Source organism: Homo sapiens, chromosome 4 (genome assembly GCF_000001405.40).
Source record: "Homo sapiens chromosome 4, GRCh38.p14 Primary Assembly".
Classification (NCBI taxonomy): Eukaryota; Metazoa; Chordata; class Mammalia; order Primates; family Hominidae; genus Homo; species Homo sapiens.
Genome location: NC_000004.12, coordinates 56,566,922 through 56,586,461, shown reverse-complemented (window position 1 = coordinate 56,586,461; position 19,540 = coordinate 56,566,922). Strand labels below are relative to the sequence as shown.

The following is a 19,540-nucleotide window of genomic DNA, read 5'->3' as shown; positions in this document are numbered from 1 at the left end:
AGATTTGGATGAAGTCATGAGACTGGAGCCCCCATAATAGGATTAGTGTCATTATAAGAAAAGGAAGAGAGACCAGAGATCTTTCTCTCTGAGAACCTACAAAGAAGAGGTCATGTGAGTATACAGCAAAATCGTGGTTGTCTGCAAGCCAGGGAGTGGGCCCTCACCAAGAAAAGAATATGCCAGTATCTTAATCTTGGACTTCCCAGGCTTCAGAACTGTGAGAAATAAATATCTTTTGTTTAATTTACCCAGACGATGGTTTTAGGTTACAGCAGCCCAAGCTGACTAAGACAAGTGTAAAGGAGCCTCCAGATGATTCCAGCCCCCCACCATTTCAGACACCCAAGGCATTACAGATTTCCCAGCTGAGGCCCCAGACATCATGGAGCAGAGAAAAGGCCATACCTGCTTGCCCAGTCAGAATTTCTCAGTCATAAAATCCTTGAACATAATAAAATCATTGTTGTTTTATGCCACTAAGTTTGGGGATGGTTTGGCATAAAGCAACAGACACCTAGATGAGAACTTTAAGGCTGGGTTCTCTGTATTGGTTTTAGATTATCTGGAGTTTGTTTTCCAAACTGATTAGATTTAAAGGCATTAATGATCCTATTGCTAGTGGTGAAAAAAAATACACTGTAGTCCATGGCGTGCAGTGGCAAAACAGAAAGCAAGGCTTTGGGTGATGAAGCAGCTGCTACAAGCAAACATTTTAGTGAAATAAATAAGTGCAGTAGGATTGCTTGGTTGCTTCTAAGTGAACTGAAGAACTTGAGAAAAGAAAGTGGTAAGTTCAGGCCTTTAAATTCCAACTGTAGGACAGGCGCAGTGGCTCACACCTATAATCCCAGCATTTTGGGAGGTCAAGGTGGGAGGATCGCTTGAGCCCAGGAATTCAAGACCAGCCTGAACAACATAAGGAAACTGTCTCTACAAAAAATGTAAAAATCAGCTGATTGTGGTGGCAGACACCTGTAGTCCCAACTATTCAGGCCAGGGTAGGAGGATCATTTGAGCCTGGGAGGTCAAAGCTGCAGTGAGCTGTGATCACATGACTGCATTCCAGCCTGGGTGACAGAGTGGGACCTTGTCTTAAAAAATAAAAAAATAAAATCCCACGGTAATGTCCACATACAGAACCAAAAAGCTTCTATGACTTCTCTAAAATTTTGAAAGCCTTATCTTCTAATAGCACAGGGCTGAACATTCTGAAAACCAGACCCAGAATCTAATTTTATGAGTGGGTGAATTATAGTGAAAATTGAATTTCCAAATTTGAACAGTCTTTTATGTTAAAGTTAGAGCAATGATTGGACAAGAGTGGGGCCTTCAACATTGGAATGGGGATATATAGGCAGATTCCAATGAAGCTGGGGACTTTAAACCCCAAAATACTGCTGAGCCTCCCTTGCTATTAGAATCAACCTTTCCTCCATCGGAAGAGGTTAGACCCTCCTTGCCTAAAGAACCCATAGAGGCTTCCCCTATCATAGACATATTCCAGGGAACTGCTGACTTGCCCCTATTATATCTCATTGCTTCTAGATGTATAACCAGACTCAAGTCCCAGCTGCCATAACAGCCTTCCACAGGCTTCTCCACCAGTTCCCACAGTTGCTGAAGGGCTAATCTCTATAATAAATCCTGTATTCTACATCATCCATAGTGGTTCTGCTTCTCTGATCCAATCCTGACTGATACATTAGGCATGGAAGAAAGAGTCAGAAAAGTTCATTTGATAAGAGGGAAAAATAAACAGGAAGAAAGGAAAACACATCTAGAAAAAGAGGGTAGGCAGCATGTTACAAGTCAATCAGGAACTGTTTCTTCCACAAGGGCACACTTACTTTTTTTGAAGGATGATAGTTTGGGTCTGTGCCTTTGGCTACTGAGAGTTGTAATATCCGGGGAGAAGGATCAGAGATTCGAAGAGAATCTCTTGCTGAGTTATCACTGAAGGGTCTATATGCAAATGGAAACATGAAATATTATAACTGTTGGATGGAGAAACAACAACTGGATTTTCCATTACTACAATCAACTTCTAATCGATTATATACACTGCTTCTATCTTAGGAACATCTATCCCACAGTCATGCTCTTTCTATCAGATTGGTGTTTCTTAAAATTTTTTTGCTATGATCCACAGTAAGAAGTACATTTTTGCCAGCACAGTGGCTCATGTCTGTAATCCCAACAGGCATCCCAACATGTCTGTAATCCCTCTGCCTTGAAAGGTGGAGGTGGGAGGATTGCTTGAGGCCTAGAGTTTGAGACCAGCCAGGCAAACATGGTGAGATCCTGTCTCTACAAAAACTAAAAAAATTAGCCAGGTGTGGTGGCATGTGCCTGTAGTCCCAGCTACTTGCAAGGCTGAGGCGGGAGGATCACTTGAGCCCAAGAGGTCAAGGCTGCAGTGAGCCAAGATTGCACCACTGCACTCCAGCCTGGGTGACAAAGTGAGACCCTAGTCTCAAAAAAAAAAAAATTTACATTTTATATTGTGATACAGTATATGTAAATGTGTGTTTGTGTATCTGAAACCAAAATTATTATGAAATAATACTTATCCTATACAATGCACTCTAATTTTTAAATTTTAATTTAATTTCATTATAAAAAAACTGGAATTGATTTTATGATCTGTTATGAATGAGTTATGACCTTCATTATGAAAAACACTTCATTCTATACCAATTCCTCCTCTTAAATCTCTGAAATAAAAATTCCAGTCACCACTGAGGGCCCCTCTGCAATGGCCAGTCTCCTCTGTAGTATGATTTGAGATAGTGCTGGTCATAACTGCCAGCCACTTGGCCAATTTTCATAGGCTGCTCCCCACATATTTCTTTCCCTAATCAAAAACCTATCAATTAAATGACAAACCTACGAGCCTAATATGGAAAATTTTTTTTCTCAAATAAATACATGATTACTCTCTAGGGGTAGGCTATTAGTTTGGGTTTTGTTTTTTTGCTGAGATACAATCAACATACCATAAAATTTACCCTTTTAAAGTATACAATTCAGTGGTTTCTAAAATATTCACAAAGATATGCAACCACCACCACTATCTAATTTCAGAATCCTGGGAACCACTAATCTACTTTCAGTCTCTATGGATTTGGATCTATGGATTGGCCTATTCCGGAATTTCTTTTTTTTTTCCTTTTATTTTTTTTTCTCAGATGGAGTCTCGCTCTGTCACCCAGGCTGGAGTGCAGTAGCACTATCTGGGCTCACTCTAACCTCCGCCTCCTGGGTTCAAGCGATTCTCCTGCCTCAGCCTCCCAAGTAGCTCGGATTACAGGCACACACCACCATGCCTGGCTAATTTTTGTATTTTTTAGTAGAGATGGGGTTTCACCATGTTGGCCAGGCTGTTCTCGAACGCCTGACCTCAAGTGATCTGCCCACCTCAGCCTCCCAAAGTGCTGGGATTACAGGTGTGAGCCACTGCACCCGGCCAGGAATTTCAAATAAATAGACTGATACAAATATGTAGCCTTTTGTGTCTGCCTTCCTTCACTTAGCATGTTTAGAAGATTGATGTATCAATACTTCATTCTTTTTTATGGCTGAATAATATTCCATTGTATGGATTGCCACATTTTGTGTATCTATTCATATCCATTGATGAACATTTGAATTGTTGCCAGTTTTTGGCTATTATGAATAATGCTGCTAGGAATATTTGTGTACCAGTTTTGTGTGAATTTACGTTTTTAATTATCTTGGGTACATGTCTAGGAGTCTAATTGCTGGCTTATATAATAACTCTATATTTAACATTTTGAGGCACTGAAAAACTGTTTTCTATATCAGTTGCAGTATTCTACATTCCTACCAGAAATGTATAAGGGTTTTAATGTTTCCACATCCTCAACAACCTGTTTTTTTTGTTGATTTATTATTTCTTATCATTATCCTTGCCATTCTTATAAGTGTGAAGTGGTATCTCATTGTGATTTTAATTTGCATTTCCAGGAAGGCAAATGATGCTGAGCATCTTTTCATATGCTTCTTGTCTATTTGTATATCTTTTTGGGGTAAACATCTATTTAAATCCTTTGCCGATTTAAAAAATTGGGTTATTTGTCTTTTATTGTACATTTTTCAGGATAATTTTTATATATTCTGAATATTAGTCCCTGATCAGATATATGATTTTCAATAATTTTCTCCTATTTTGTGGGTTGTCTTTTCACTCTCTTGGTAGTGTCCTTTAATGCATAAAAGTTACTTTTGATGAAGTCCAATTTATTTTTTCTTTTGTCACATGAGCTTAGATATGACAACAAAAGGTCATAGCTAAGATATGACACCAAAGGTCATATCTAAGAAACCATTGCCTATCTCAAGATCACAGAGAAGTATGCCTGTGTTTTTCTCTATGAGTTTTATAGTTTTAGCTCTTATATTTAGGTCTGTGATCAATTTTGAGTTAATTTTCATGTATGATGTGGGCGTCAAACATCATTCTTTTGCATGCAAATAGCCAGTTATCACAGCACCATTTGTTGAAAATACTATTTTTTCCCCATTAAACTATCTTGACACTCTTGCCAAAAATCAATTGCCCATAAATGTAGGGGTTTACTTCTGCACTATCAATTCTGTTTCATTGCTCTAAATGTCTATCCTTGTGCCTGTAACAAATTGTCTTAATTACTGCAGCTTTTCTGTAAGTTTTGAAATGAGAAAACTGTCTTCCAACTTTGTTCTTATTCAAGAATGTTTTTGGCTATTTGATGTCCCTTGCATTTCTATATGAACTTTAGGATCACTTTATCAATTTCTATGAAAAAAAGGAAGCTGGAATTATTCTTTTTTTTTTTTTAGACAGGGTCTCGTTCTGTCACCCAGGCTGGAGTGCAGTGGCACCATCACATCTCACTGCAGCCTTGATCTCCCAGGCTCAAGCAATCCTCCAGCCTCAGCCTCCCAAGTAGCTGGTACTACAGGCTTGTGCCACCATGCCCAGCTAATTTTTTTTCTTTTTGGAGATGGAGTTTCACTATTGTTGCCCAGGCTGGAGTGCAATGATGTGGTCTCGGTTCACTGTAACCTCTGCCTCCCAGGTTCAAGCAATTCTCCTGCCTCAGCCTCCCAAGTAACTGGGATTACAGGCACACACCACCACTCCTGGCTAATTTTTGTATTTTTAGTAGAGACGAGGTTTTACCATGTTGGCCAGGCTAGTCTCGAACTCCTGACTTCAGGTGATCTGCCTGCCTCGGCCTCCCAAAGTGCTGTGATTATAGTTGTAAGCCACCATGCCTGGCCTAATTTTTTTTTTATTTTTAGTAGAAAATGAGGTCTCATTATGTTAAGTTCCTCTTTTCCTCCTTCCCTATTCCCTGCAACAGCCATCTTACTTTCTGTCACTATGAATTTGACTATTTTTGGTACTTCAAATAAGTGAAATCATACAGTATTTGTCTTTTCTGTGACTGGCTTATTAAACTCAGCATAGTGTCCTCAAAGTTCATCGATACTGTAGAATGTGTCGGAATTTTCTTCCTTTTAAAGGCTGAGCAATATTCCTTATATGTATAATTTTGTTCTTTTTGATACTACTGCAAAATTGGTTTTCTTAATTTCACTTTCAGATTGTTCATTGATAGTAGATATACAATTGATTTTTCTGTATTGATTTTGGATTCTGCACCTTCTTGAACTAATTTATTAGCTCTAATAGTCTTTATGTAGATTCCTTAAGATTTTCTGCATACAAGATCACGTCATTTCTGACTTGAGATGGTTTTACTTCTCTCTATCCGATCTGGATGCCCTTTATTTTTTTTTATTTTTTATTTTTTTTCATGCCTAATTGCCCTGGTTAGAATCTCTAGTATGAGACTGAATAGTAATAGTGAGAGCTGACAACTTTGCTTGTTCCTGATGTCAGGGGTAAAGCGTTCAGTCTTTCACCATTAATTATATTAGTTGTGTGTTTCTTGTAGATTCCCTTTACCAAGTTGAGGAAGTTTCCTTCCATGCCTAGCTTGTTTAGCATTTTTATCATAAAAGTATCTTGAATTTTGTCAAATGCTTTTTCTGAGTCTATTGAGATGATCATGTAGTTTTTGTTTTTTTCATTCTATTAATTTAGTGTATTGCTTTGATTTTTGTATTTTGCACTCAACATATTCTCACATTCCTGGGGTAAAGCCAATTTGGTCATGGTGTATAATTTTTTTTACATTTTGCTGGATTCAGTTTGTTAGTTTTTGGTATGAATTGTTGCATGTACATTTGGATTTGGTTTGCTAGTAGAGTATTTTGGTGTGGATTATAGCATGTATATTCATAAACTATATTGGTCTGCAGTTTTCTTATCTGGTAATCATCTTTTCTGGTTTTATTATCAGGATAATACAAGTCCTCATAGAATGAGTTGGAAAGTGTCTGATTTTTTGAGAGTTTGAAGGAATGGTGTTAATTATTTTCTAAATATTTCATGGAATTCACTAATAAAGCCATCTGGTTCTGAGCTGTTCTTCATAGGAAGCTTTTTATTAATTCAATCGCTTCACTTGTTACAGATCTGTTAAGATTGTCTATTTCTTCTTGACTCAGATTCAGTAGTTTGTCTTTATAATAATTTGTCCATTTCATCTAGGTTCTCTCATTTGCTGGCTTTTATTTGTTTGTTTTCTCATTTTATTTGATTTTCTGAGAAACTCAAAATCAGGGTCTTGTTTTGTCACCCTGACTGGAATGCAGTGACATAATCACAGCCCACTGCATCCTTGACCACCTGGGCTTATGTGATTCTCCCACCTCAGCCTCTGAGTATCTGGGACCACAGACACATGCCACCATGGCCAATTAATTTTTTAATTATTTGAAGAGATAGGGTCTCACTATGTTGCCCAGGCTGGTCTCAAACTCCTAGCCTCAAATGATTCTCTCGCTTCAGCTTCCCAAATTGCTGGGATTACAGATGTGAACCACCATGCCCTGCCCTTTTTTTTTTAATATAGGCATTTACAGCTATAAATTTCCCACTAACCACTACTTTAGCTGCATCTCATAACCTTTGGTATGTTATGTTTTCAGTTTTATTCATATCAAAGTGATTTCTTCTTTGACCTATTGGTTGTTTAGGAGTGTAATTAATTTAACATATTTTTAAATTTCTAAATTTCCTTCTGCTATCAGTTTCCAATTTCATTGAACTGGTTCAGAGAATTGATTTTCTATGAATTTAATCCTCTTAAATTTATTGAGACTTGTTTTATGAGTTAATATGTGATCTATCCTAGAGAATGTTCCATGTACACTTGAAAAGAATGTGTATTCTCCCATTTTTGAGTAGAGGTTTCATAGACATGTGTTAGATATAGTTGGTTTCTAGTGTTATTCAAGCCTTCTATTTCACTACTGATCTTCTGCTTGTTATTCTACCCATTATTAAAAGTGGGGTATTGAAGTGTCCAACTATTATTGTTGAATTCTATCAGGTTTTTGCTCTGCTGTTGGGTGCATGTATGTTTATAGTTGTTATCTTTCCTTTCTTTCTTACTTTTTTTTTTCTTGTAGAGATGAGGTCTTGCTATATTACCCAGGCTGGTCTTGAATTTCTGGCCTCAAGCAATCCTCTCACCTTGGCCTCCCAAAGTGCTGGTGTGAGATACTGCATCCAGCCATAATTGTATGTCTTTTTAATGGATTGACTCTTTTATAATATAAAATGTCCTTTCTCTGTCTTTAGTAACAATGTTTGTCTTAAAGTCTATATTGTCTGATATCAGTATGGCCAATCCAGGTCTTTTTTGGTTGGCGTGCATGGTATATCTTTTTCCATTTTTTTACTTTCAGTCTATTTGTTTATTTGAATCTAAAGTATGTCTTTTGTAGACAGCATATAGTTGAGTGAATTTTTATCCATTTTTTATCCTGTCTTTTTATTGGAGTGTTCAATTCATTTACATTTAATGTAATGTACATTTAATGTAATTACCGATAAGGTAATATTTATGCCTGCCATGTTGCTATTTTTTCTATATATTTTTTGTTCCTTTGTTCTTTCATTTCTTCCTTCTTTTGTGTTAGATATTTTCTACTGTGACATTTAAATTTCCTTGTTATTTATTTTATTACATTTTAAAAATTATTTCCTTAGTTGTTTCTCTGTACATCTTACAACAATCTAGTTCAGACTAACACCAAATTAATTCCTATGGTATATAATAACTTTGCTCCTATATAGCTCTATCCCCTCCCGCTCCTTTGTACTTTTATTTATTCATTGTATGCCCATCAACATAAATTTATAATTATTGCTTTAGGCAATTGTCTTTTATGTCAGGTAGAAGAAAAAGAGTTACAAACAAAAATATATACATATTTACATTTTAATGTAATTATAATGTACTATATAAAATGTGCTACATTCTATATTTACCTATGTAGTTAATTCTTTTTGTGCCCTTTATTTGGATTTGAGTTATTGTCAAATGTCTTTGCCTTTTTGGGACACAGTCTCACTCTGTCACCAAGGCTTTAATGCAGTAACATAGTCACTGCAGCTTCAACCTCCCAGGCTCAAGCAATTCTCCTGCCTCAGCCTCCCGAGTAGCTGGGACCACAGGCATTCACCACAACACCCCAATAAATTTTTTGTTTTTAGTAGAGATGAGATCTCACTATAATGCCCAGGATAACTGTCCTTTCACTTAGTCTGAAATACTTTCTTTATTATTTCTCGTAAAGCAGGTCTGCTGGCAATGAATTATCTCAATTTTTGCTTATCTAGGAATATCGTAATTTCCGCTTCAGTTACGAAGGATAACTTTGCTAAACAGAGTATTCTTAGCTTACAATCTTTTTCCTTCAGTGCTTTATTTTATTTATTTATTTATTTTGAGACAGAGTCTCACTCTGTGGCTCAGGCTGGAGTACAGTGGCGCAATCTCTGCTCACTGCAACCTCCACCTCCCTTTTTAATGGACTGACTCTTTTATAATATAAAATGTCCTTTCTCTGTCTCTAGTAACAATGTTTGTCTTAAAGTCTATATTGTCTGATATCAGTATGGCCAATCCAGATCTTTTTTGGCTGGTGTGAATGGTATATCTTTTTCCATTTTTTTACTTTCAGTCTATTTGTGCCTATTTTTTTACTTTCAGTCTATTCTTGTGCCTCTGCCACCTGAGTAGCTGGGATTACAGGCATGAGCCACCACACCTGGCTAATTTTTATATTTTTAGTAGAGATGAGGTTTCACCATGTTGGCCAGGCTGGTCTCAAACTCCTGACCTCAGATGATCCACCCACCTTGGCCTCCCAAAGTGCTGGGATTACAGGCGTGAGCCACCACACCTCGCCAATCCTTCAGTGCTTTAAGTACTTTAATTTGAAAGCACAGAAGTCAGACCATTAGCCTAAGGAAAATCTTGGCTTTATACTTAAACAGCTCCTGAGAGGTTTTCTATATTAAGGTATTATAAAATAGCTGATGTTCATAATAAAGAGCTTAAGCCAATGAACAATGGTTACATGTATGTTCAAGCAGCAGAAAAGTCTACTTAGAAAAGCAGGGAAATATAAACTTAAAAAAGTACAAAATGTTTTAACTAAAGGGCATTTTATTTACATGCAACATCAAACTGAGGTCTCAAGAAGTGGCAATAAAGTATTCCTTTGTTTATAACTATAGACACATTACCAAATTTATGTGTATACATAACTACCAAATTTTATGTATTTGGTACAGTGGATTTTATTGAATGAATTGATAAATAAGTAATTGAGGAAACCCTGTGGGAAGAATTGGGCCTTCTTTCGCAGTATTCTATGATGCAAAAGACTCAAGCTGTCTAGTTCAACCTTTCTCTGAATGTAGGAATCTTTTCTAAAATCCATGTAAAGTCACAGTTCCAGCCTGGGCTTGAAAACTTGCAGGGATGAGGGTGGAATGCTGGTTCACTTTCCGTTACTGGACAGTTTCCATTACCCAATAGCTAGTCAGAAAGATTTTCCTCCACTAAGCTGACGTCTGCTGCCCTGTCAATGTTCTACTTCTAGTTCTAGGATTAACATAAAGTAATTTTACTTTCACCTCTTCTTCCTCTTCCAGATGTCAACCCTTTAAATATTTTAACACAGCTGTCACCACTTTCTTATTCTCTTTTTAAACTAAACATGTCATTTCTCTTAATTATTTTTCACATAACATAGTTTCCAGGAGCCCAATATCTCATTTCCCACCTTCTGAATAGTCTCAAGTTTATTATCATTTCTTAAGGTATAACATACATAACTGCACATACATGTCCAGTGTGTTCCGACTAAAGTAGCACACAGTAGCACTATCACCTCTCCACAACTGTACACTGTATATATTCCACTAATGCAACCTAACATTGAATTAGCTTTTGCAACAACCACATCACAATCTTAGCTCCCATGGAAAATGTACCACCTAGTGGTCTTATAAAGACAAGGAGAAATTCAGCCTTCAAAGCAAAAGGAAGAAAAAGTATCAAAGTCAGAGAGATACAGGAGAACAAATTCCACAAATTGCAAAAACCTGTGGTGTTTTAGTTGCATATTTCCTTTTAACTGGCTAACAATGGTAAGGTTTAGTATAAATTTTAGTTTCACCACAATGTGAGTCAAATGTAATTACCGAAGATGAACTTCTGATTACCTACAATAGCTGCAAATATTTGATTTTTTACCTGATGCTTTGGAACACAAGTGGACTCTTAGCTCATGAAATTGCACACACTAAAATTAGAACAAAAATACTAAGACATCTGGCCAAATTAGATTAGGATTTACAGAGATTCTCAAGATACTCTACCTATTTAGTAGACACTGTCTTTTGAATCCATTGGGCTGTGACAGCCTCTGGATCCTTTTGGAGGGTTGTCTAAACAATGCAGGAGGAGTGATCTCCCAAATTACAGACTCTCTTCCACAGCTGTGGTAGTATTGAGCCCTGCAAGTTGTAGAAGAGAAAAGAAGTAAACGAAACAAGCATGATTTCAAATTGTCATAGTATTTTCCAACATCGATCCCCAGGCCTAGGGGAGCAGGTATGACAGTTTATTATTGATGATCTATTTTCCATGTGAGGAGAAATTAATTGCTTTAGAAACGGTTACACCCATCAAGTTTTCAACTGGCTTCTATTATACTCAAAACAGATAGTTTTCTCAAATAAATGACATCTTCTTTTTTTTCTTTTTTTTTTTGAGATGGAGTCTCGCTCTGTCGCCCAGACTGGAGTGCAGTGGTGCGATCTTGGCTCACTGCAAGCTCCGCCTCCCAGGTTCACGCCATTCTCCTGCCTCAGCCTCCCGAGTAGCTGGTACTACAGGTGCCCACCACCACGCCTGGCTAATTTTTGTATTTTTAGTAGAGACGGGGTTTCACCGTGTTAACCAGGATGGTCTTGATCTCCTGACCTCGTGATCCACCGGCCTCGGCCTCCCAAAGTGCTGGGATTACAGGCATGAGCCACCGCGCCCAGCAGACATCTTTTTTTTTCAATTGAGACAGGATCATACACGGGCTCACTGCAGCCTCAACCTCCTGGGCTCAAGTGATCCTCCTACCTCAGCCTCCCGAGTAGCTGGGATCACAGGCATGTGCCTCTATGCCCAGCAACTTTTTAAAATTTTTTCGTAGACATGGGGTTTCACTATGTTCCCCAGGCTGGTCTTGAACTCCTGGGCTCAAGCAATACTCCTGTCTCAGCCTCCCAAAGTGCTAGAATTAAAGGCATGAGCCACCATGCCTGGCAATTACATTTTCCAAATAGACCAAAAGATATACAGATGAAGAGAAAATTTGCTGCTTTTAAAACCAAATACTTCCTTTAGCATCTATATAAATAAATTTTTTTACTATATTTCTATTTTATACGGTGAATTATATTGATACTTTGCTAGATAACTGAGTTTAGGAATACATTCTACTTGATGATGTGCACAGAATAATCATTATTGGGGCTTGTTAACTATGAATTTTTAGGATAAGTAATAATATTGTTCTTCTTTTATTTGTCTATTTATTATTTTTAGAAGCACGATCTTGCTCTATTGCCCAGGCTGAAGTGCAGTGGCACAATCATGGCTCATGGCAGCCTCAAACTCCTGGGCTCAAGCAATGCTCCTGCCTCAGCCTCCTGAGTAGGGGGGACTACAAGTTTGCATCACCATGCTGGGCTAATTTTTTTATATTTGTACGGATGGGGGCTCGCTATATTATCTAGGCTAGCCTCGAATGCCTATGCTCAAGTGATTCTCCCGTCTCAGCCTCCCAGAGTGCTGGGATTACAGGCATGAGCCAGCACACCCAGCCACCATTGTTCTTCTTAACAACGCTGCCCTTCAATCTTTCCTTATCAAAATACATCATCAGTGGAAAAGGAAGTGACATTGACTACCCCCCCAGACCCAATGTTAACTCAAATTGCAGTCCCACTTTTGCTTCTATTATAAGGACCTCTGTTCCTTTAGGACGTTCACAGATACAGATCTGCATCCCTCTCTCTGCCCAAGCCTCTGTCTGCTGGTTGCAGCTGTAAACATCCTTTACATCTAGGCTGAACTGGTGTCTTGTAAGCCTCAATCTGCATATAAGACTGTATCCCCCTTGCTCGCGACCACCCAGTCTTGAGGCCTGTCTACACCACCACACATATCTTTTGAGGGGGCTGGAGGCTGCCCAGCCCTGACTCTACTGCCCAACTGCACTGACTCACCTACCCACACCCATACCCACACATAGCCCAGCTTAAAAAGGCAGGAAACCTCTAGCCCCTACCTGGGATTGGCCTTTTGAAGGAAATGGCAGTTCAGTTTGGGAATTAGAAATACAGAAGGAAGTGGTGACTTTGAACAATGGGGCACACTGTGGAGACCTTAGACTCAGGCAAAAGGAGCCACAGTGGTTGGGAAGAAGGTGATTACGCAGCCAATGAGCGGCACAAAGGCAAGATGTGCTTGGAGAATAGAGCCGAGGGGAAAGGCCCAAGCAGTGAGTGAGAGATAGAAAAAAAAGAAGACACCAGAGACAACTGCTACTCAACATTCTCTCAGGTGGGAATGGCAACCACCAAATGCCAGGAAAATCTGTACTGACCATAATACTTATGCCTTATGCTGCCAACACCTAGAAGTACATAAGTGTTCTACAAAATGGAGAAAATAAACAATATATGGTGATTATGAAGACTAAACAAGAGAAGTGTATATGTTATTTTATAATTCACAAAGCACTATTCAAATGATTCTATTAATCAACTTGTATATTAATTTTAAATTTCATATTTGCATATCTTTTCCTTATAGATGCTGCATATTAACAGAATGTACTGCTGCTGCCCTTACGTGCTTCTCCTCCTCCCAGAGTCATCCACACATCCAAGTCTCACAGCGCTGTCAATGTAGCAGGTACTCAAATTTTTTTTTTTTTTTTTTGGAGATAGAGTCTTGCTCTGTCGCCCAGGCTGGAGTGCAGTGGTGCGATCTCAGCTCACTGCAACCTCTGCCTCCTGGGTTCAAGGAATTCTCCTGCCTCAGCTTCCCAAGTAGCTAGAATTATAGGTGTGCACCACCACCCCCAGCTAATTTTTGTATTTTTAGTATAGACAGGGTTTTGCCATGTTGGCCAGGCTGGTCTCGAACTCCTGACCTCAGGTGATCCACCTGCCTTGGCCTCCCAAAGTGCTGGGATTACAGGTGTGAGTCACCACTCCCAGCCTCAAATATTATTTTAATATAGAGTACACTGCATTTTTCTCATTGTAAAAGAGACAAATATTCAGTATACAAAACTTGTAAAATAAAGAAGTTTAAGAGAGAGAAACAAAAAGCATATAGTAGTCCACCATTCAGAGATAGTAATGGGTAATATCTTGGAATAATTTGAGTCTTTTTTCCCTCTATTTATACACTCAAAAAATACGTATTGAGCACCAGGTCCTGTGTTAGGAGCACTCACTAGGAGAGAGTGGAGAATAGGATAATCACTGCTTTCTTGCAGCTTGTTCTCTATGTCAAGGGGAGAATACCAAATGTAAAATACAGTCAAGCACCGTGTAATGACCTTTCGGTCAACAATGAACCACCTATACAACAATTATACTGGATTGTACTGGAGCTGAAAAATTCCTATTGCTTTGTGATGTTGTAGCCATCATAACATCATAGCACACTGCATTACTCATATGTTTATGGTTATGCTGCAGTAAACAAACCTACCAGCACATACAATTATGTACAGTACATAATACTTTTTTTAACTTCCCTGTAAAATCCAATTTTAAACAGTATATAATACTTGATAGTGATGATAAACAACTATGCTACTGGTTTATGTATTTACTACATGTTACGGGTTTATGTATTTTTATTGTTATTTTAGAGTGTACTCTTTCTACTTATAAAAAAAATTAACTGTAAAACAGCCTCAGACAGGTCCTTCAGGAGGTATTTCAGAAAAAGGCCTTTTATCATAGGAGATGACAGCTCCATGCATGTTTTGCTCCTAAACACCTTCTAGTGAGACAAGATGTGGAGGTGGAAGATAGTGATATGAATGATCCTGACCCTCTGTAGGCTTAGGCTAATGTTTGTTTGTACCTTCTTTTTTTGTCAGGTCCCGCTCTGTCACCCAGGCTGGAGAGCAGTGTGATCATAGCTCACTGCAGCCTCAAACTCCTGGGCTCAAGCAATCCTCCCCTCTCAGCCTCCTGAGTAGCTAGGACTACGGGCATGTGCCACTATGCCCAGATAATTTTTTTAATTTTTTTTAGAGATGGGGGTCTTACTATGTTGCCCAGGTTGGTCTTGAACTCTTGGCCTCAAATTATCCTCCCATTTTGGCCTCCCAAAGCATTGGGATTACTGGTGCTAGCCACCATGCTCAGGCAGGCAGATTGCTTCAGCCCAGGAGTTTGAGACCAGCCTGGGCAACGTGGCAAAGCCCTGTTTCTACCAAAAAAATCCAAAACAATTAACCAGGTGTGGTGGCGCACACCTGTAGTCCCAGCTGCTTGGGAGGCTGAGGTGGGAGGATCGCATGAGCCCAGGAGGCTGCGGTTACAGTGAGCTGAGTATGACTGCACTCCAGTAAGGGCAACAGAGCAAGACCTCTGAAAAAAAAAAAGTTTTAAAAGTTTAAAATATTTTAAAATAGAAAAAAAAAGCTTATGTTATAAGGATATATATCAAGCAGAGTCCTGTGGATTAAAAAATGATAATAAGGATATAAAGAAAAAATATTTTTGGATAGCTGTATAATGTGTTTGTGTTTTAAGCTAAGTGTTATTATAAAATAGTCAAAAAGGTTTTTTGTTTTTTTTTTTAAGTTAAAAAGCTTATAAAGTAAAGGCCAGGTGTGGTGGCTCACACCTGTAATCCCAGCCCTTTGGGAGGCTGAGGTTGGTGGATCACCTGAGCTCAGGAGTTCCAGACCAGCCTGGCCAACATGGCGAAACCCTGACTCTACTAAAAATACAAAAGTTAACGGGGTGTGGTAGCACATGCCTATAGTCCCAGCTACTCGAGGGGCTGAGGCAGGAGAATTGCTTGAACCCGGGAGGGGGAGGTTGCAGTGAGCCAAGATTGCACCACTGCACTCCAGCCTGGGTGAAAGAGCAAGAGCCTGTCTCAAAAATAAATAAATAAATAAATAATAAAAATTTTAAAAAAGAAGCTTATTGTGAGCTAAAGTGAATATATTATTAAAGAAAAACTTTTTCATAAACAGTATAACTTCAGTGTACAGTGTTTATAAAGTCTACCGTAGCATGCAGTCATGTCCTGGGCCTTCATGTTCACTCACCACTCCCTCACTGACCCACCCAGAACAACTTCCAGTCCTGCAAGCTCCATTCTTAGTGAATGTCCTATTCAGGTGTACCATTTCTTATCTTTTATACCATAGCTTTCTGTGCCTTTTCTATGTTTAGATATGTTTAGATACACAAATACTTACCATTGTGTTATAATTGCCTAAGGTATTCTGTAACACGCTGCACAGCTTTGTAGCCCAAGAGCACCAGGCTATACCATATAGCTCAGGTGTGTAGTAGGCTATACCATCTAGGTTTGTGTGAGTGCACTTTATGATGTTTGTACAACAACTAAATCACCTACGGATGCATTTCTTAGAACATAGCCCTGTCATTAAGTAACGCATAACTGTAAATAGTTGTGGTGAGTACTATGAAGGCATCAACTATTCAGCAGAGATAGAGGCTTCCTGGGTAGGTTCGTGAGAATGTTGAAAGTTATGCTGAAGAGAATAGTCAGGGAAGGTCTCTGTGAAAAGCTGAGACCTAGGCTGAGACTTAACGGATCAAAACATCTTAGTGACTCAAAAATGGGGAAAGCATTCTAAGCAGAGGAGAAAATGAGAAAAAGGCCTTGGGATGGGAAATATCTTGGTATGTTTAAGGAATAAACATTTTAAAATAAAAGTAGGATCACAGTATATATACAGTTTTATGTTCAAATTTTTCACTTAGTATTACAGCATAAATCCTTGGGTCATGAAATACAAATGGTAATATTTTTAAAGTAAATACTTTGGTAAATTAAAACACTTAGAAGAGACTTCCACTTCCCGGCATGATAGTATAATAGGGATTGGGTTTATCCCTAGAATAAAGACATCTCCAGTAACTTTTTTTTTGAGACAGGGTCTCACTCTATCACCCATGCTGGAATGCAGTGATGCAATCATGGCCTCGACCTCCCAGGCTCAAGTGATCCTCCCACCTTAGCCTCCTGAGTAGCTGAGACCACAAGTGCTTACCACCATACCCAGCTAATTGTATTTTTAGTAGAGACAGGGTTTCACCATGTTGGCCAGTCTGGTCTCAAACTCCTGACCTCGAGTGATCCACCCACCTGGGCTTCCCAAAGTACTGGGATTACAGGCATGAGCCACCACACCCAGCCACCAGTCCCATTTTTTTAAAAAAAAAACTTAAAAGCAAGCCTCAAAAATGGACAAAGGATTTGGATGAACATTTCTCCAAAGAAGGTATTCAAATGCCAACAAACAAATGAAAAAATGTTCAACATCAAAAATTATTAAGGAAATGCAAATCAAAACCACAATGAGTACTACTTCACACATAGGAGGACAGCTTTATCAAAATGATAATAACAAGTGTTGGTAAGGATGTGGAGATATTGGAACTCTCATTCATTACTGGTGGGATTATAAAGTGATACAATCACTTTGGAAAACAGTCTAGCAGTTCATCAAAAAGTTAAATATAGGGTTATCATGTGAAACAGCAATTCAACTCCTGCTATATATTCAAGAGGAATGAAAACATACATTCACACAAAAGCTTGTACACAAATGATCATAGCAGCATTACTTTTGCCAAAATGTAAAAAGAGGCCAATGTCTAACAACTGATGAATCGATAAATAAAATGTGGCAAAGCCATACAATTAAAGATTGCTTAGCCATAAAAACAAATTTACTTATACATGCTACAACACAGATGAATCTTGAAAATATTGTGCTAAGCAAAAGAAGACAGTCACAAAGAACAACATATTGTAAGATTCCATTTATATGAAATTACCAGAATAAGTACACTTATAGGAACAGAAAATAGATTAGTGGTTACTTAGGGCTTGGAGAAGTTGAAGGGGCGTAAGAACTGACTGCTAATGAGTTTAATGTTTCTTTTAGGGAAGACAAAGTGTTCTAAAATTAGATTTTGATGATAGTTACACAGTCCTGTGAACATACTACCAAACTCTAATTTATACACTTTAATTTTTCATTTTTAATTTTTTCAGTACAGAGATGGGGTCTCACTATTTTGCCCAGGCTGGTCTTAACTCCTGAGTGCAGGCGATCCTCCCACTTCAGCGTCCCAAAGTGGGATTATAGGCATAAGCCACTATACTTTTATACTAAATTATATACCTTAAATGAGCAAATTATTTGGTAAGTGAATTAATCACAATAAAGCTATTTTTTTAAAAGAAAACCTCAGAAGATCAAACTGTTTAGAAATAAGGTAACTACATCCCAAAACAAAGCTCAAGAATATTTATAGGAATACAAAAACATCCAGGAGCCAGTAAGGTAAAATTCACAATATTTGGTACCCAATAAAAAACTACCAGGTATGCAAAGAAGCAGTAAATTATGACCCATAATGAGAAAAATCAATCATTAGAAACAGACTCAGAAATGATATATTATAAAATTAGTAGGCAAGAACATTAAAACAGCTATTGTAACTGTATTGCGTATTTTCAAGAAGGCAAAGAAAAGATTGAGCATGTTAAGTAGACACAAAATATAAAAATACCCAAATGAACCTCTAGAGATTAAAAACTACAATGGGTGAGAAGAAAAATACTCTGGGTGAGACAAACATTACACTGTAGAAGAAAAGATTAATGAAGACATAGAGAGAAATAAAACACAGAGGTGAGGAAACAGATTCAATGTGCTGTGGGAAAACTTCAAGCAGTCTGATACATCCAACTAGAGCCCGCAAAGAAGGAGGAGCAGAAAAAATATCTGAAATAATAATAACTGAAAGTTTTCCAAATTAGATGAAAATTGTAAATTTAAAGATCCAATTTTAATGAACCCCAAACAGAAGAAACATTATGAAAAAAACATTAAGATATATGATAATCAAATTTTTAAAAACCAGAGACAAAGAGAAAAATCATTAAAGCAAAATAACAGTCAAAGTCTCATCAGAAATAATGGAGACAGTGAGGCAGTATTTGTCCATCTGGAGTTCTATGCCCACCAAAAATACAGTTCAAAATGAAAGTGAAATAAAGAATTTTAAGATATGCAAAAGCTGAAAGAATTCATCAGCAGCAGACCTGAACTAAAAGAAGTATAAGCTGGGCATGGTGGCTTACATCTGTAATCCCAGCACTTTGGGAGGCCGAGGCGGCGGATCACTTGAGGTCAGGAGTTGGAGACCAGCCTGGCCAACGTGGTGAAACCCTGTCTCTACTAAAAAAAAAAAAAAAAAAAAAAAAAAACCACCAAAATTAGCCAGGTGTGGTGGTGTGCACCTGTAATCTCAGCTACTTGGGAGGCTGAGGCAGGAGAATCACTTGAAACCATGAGGCAGAAGTTGCAGTGAGCCAACATCGTACCACTGTACTCCAGCCTGGGTGACATGGCGACACTCCATCTTAATTAAAAAAAAATATTATTAAAGAAAGTCCTCCAGGAAGAAGAAAAATACAAAATGAAATGTATAGATTTAATAGATCTACACAAAGGAATGCAGAGTATGGGAAATGGTAAGAATGCCGGTAAATATAAAACGCTTTTTCTTATTTTAAAAATCTCCTTAAAAGATTTGACTATTTAAAGCAAAAATAATAATAATGTAAGATTTATAGAAGTAAAATGTATGATCACCGTGGCACAAAGGCCAGAAGTAGGGAAATGGTAATATACCATTATAAGAATCTTACACTAGGCCAGGCACAGTAGCTCATGCCTGTAATCCTAGAACTTTGGGAGGCCAAGGTGGGCGGATCACGAGGTTGGG

The 19,540-nt window shown here is 38.1% G+C and overlaps 1 protein-coding gene across 7 annotated transcripts in view; it reads right to left on the bottom strand.

Annotated features, from left to right (window-relative positions):
* Positions 1 to 19,540, bottom strand: part of SPMAP2L (sperm microtubule associated protein 2 like) — a 95,609-nt gene that overhangs the window by 39,753 nt on the left and 36,316 nt on the right. For all 7 annotated transcript variants that reach the window (XR_941041.2, XM_011534357.2, XM_011534361.3 and 4 more), the window contains exons 5-6: positions 10,820 to 10,957; positions 1,851 to 1,965 (exon numbers count right to left, since the gene is read on the bottom strand). Coding sequence is in view for 6 of the 7 variants with exons in the window: in XM_011534357.2 (XP_011532659.1) it covers positions 1,851 to 1,965; positions 10,820 to 10,957 (253 nt within the window). In the remaining variant the exon portion in view is untranslated. The remainder of the gene's footprint in view (positions 1 to 1,850; positions 1,966 to 10,819; positions 10,958 to 19,540) is intronic.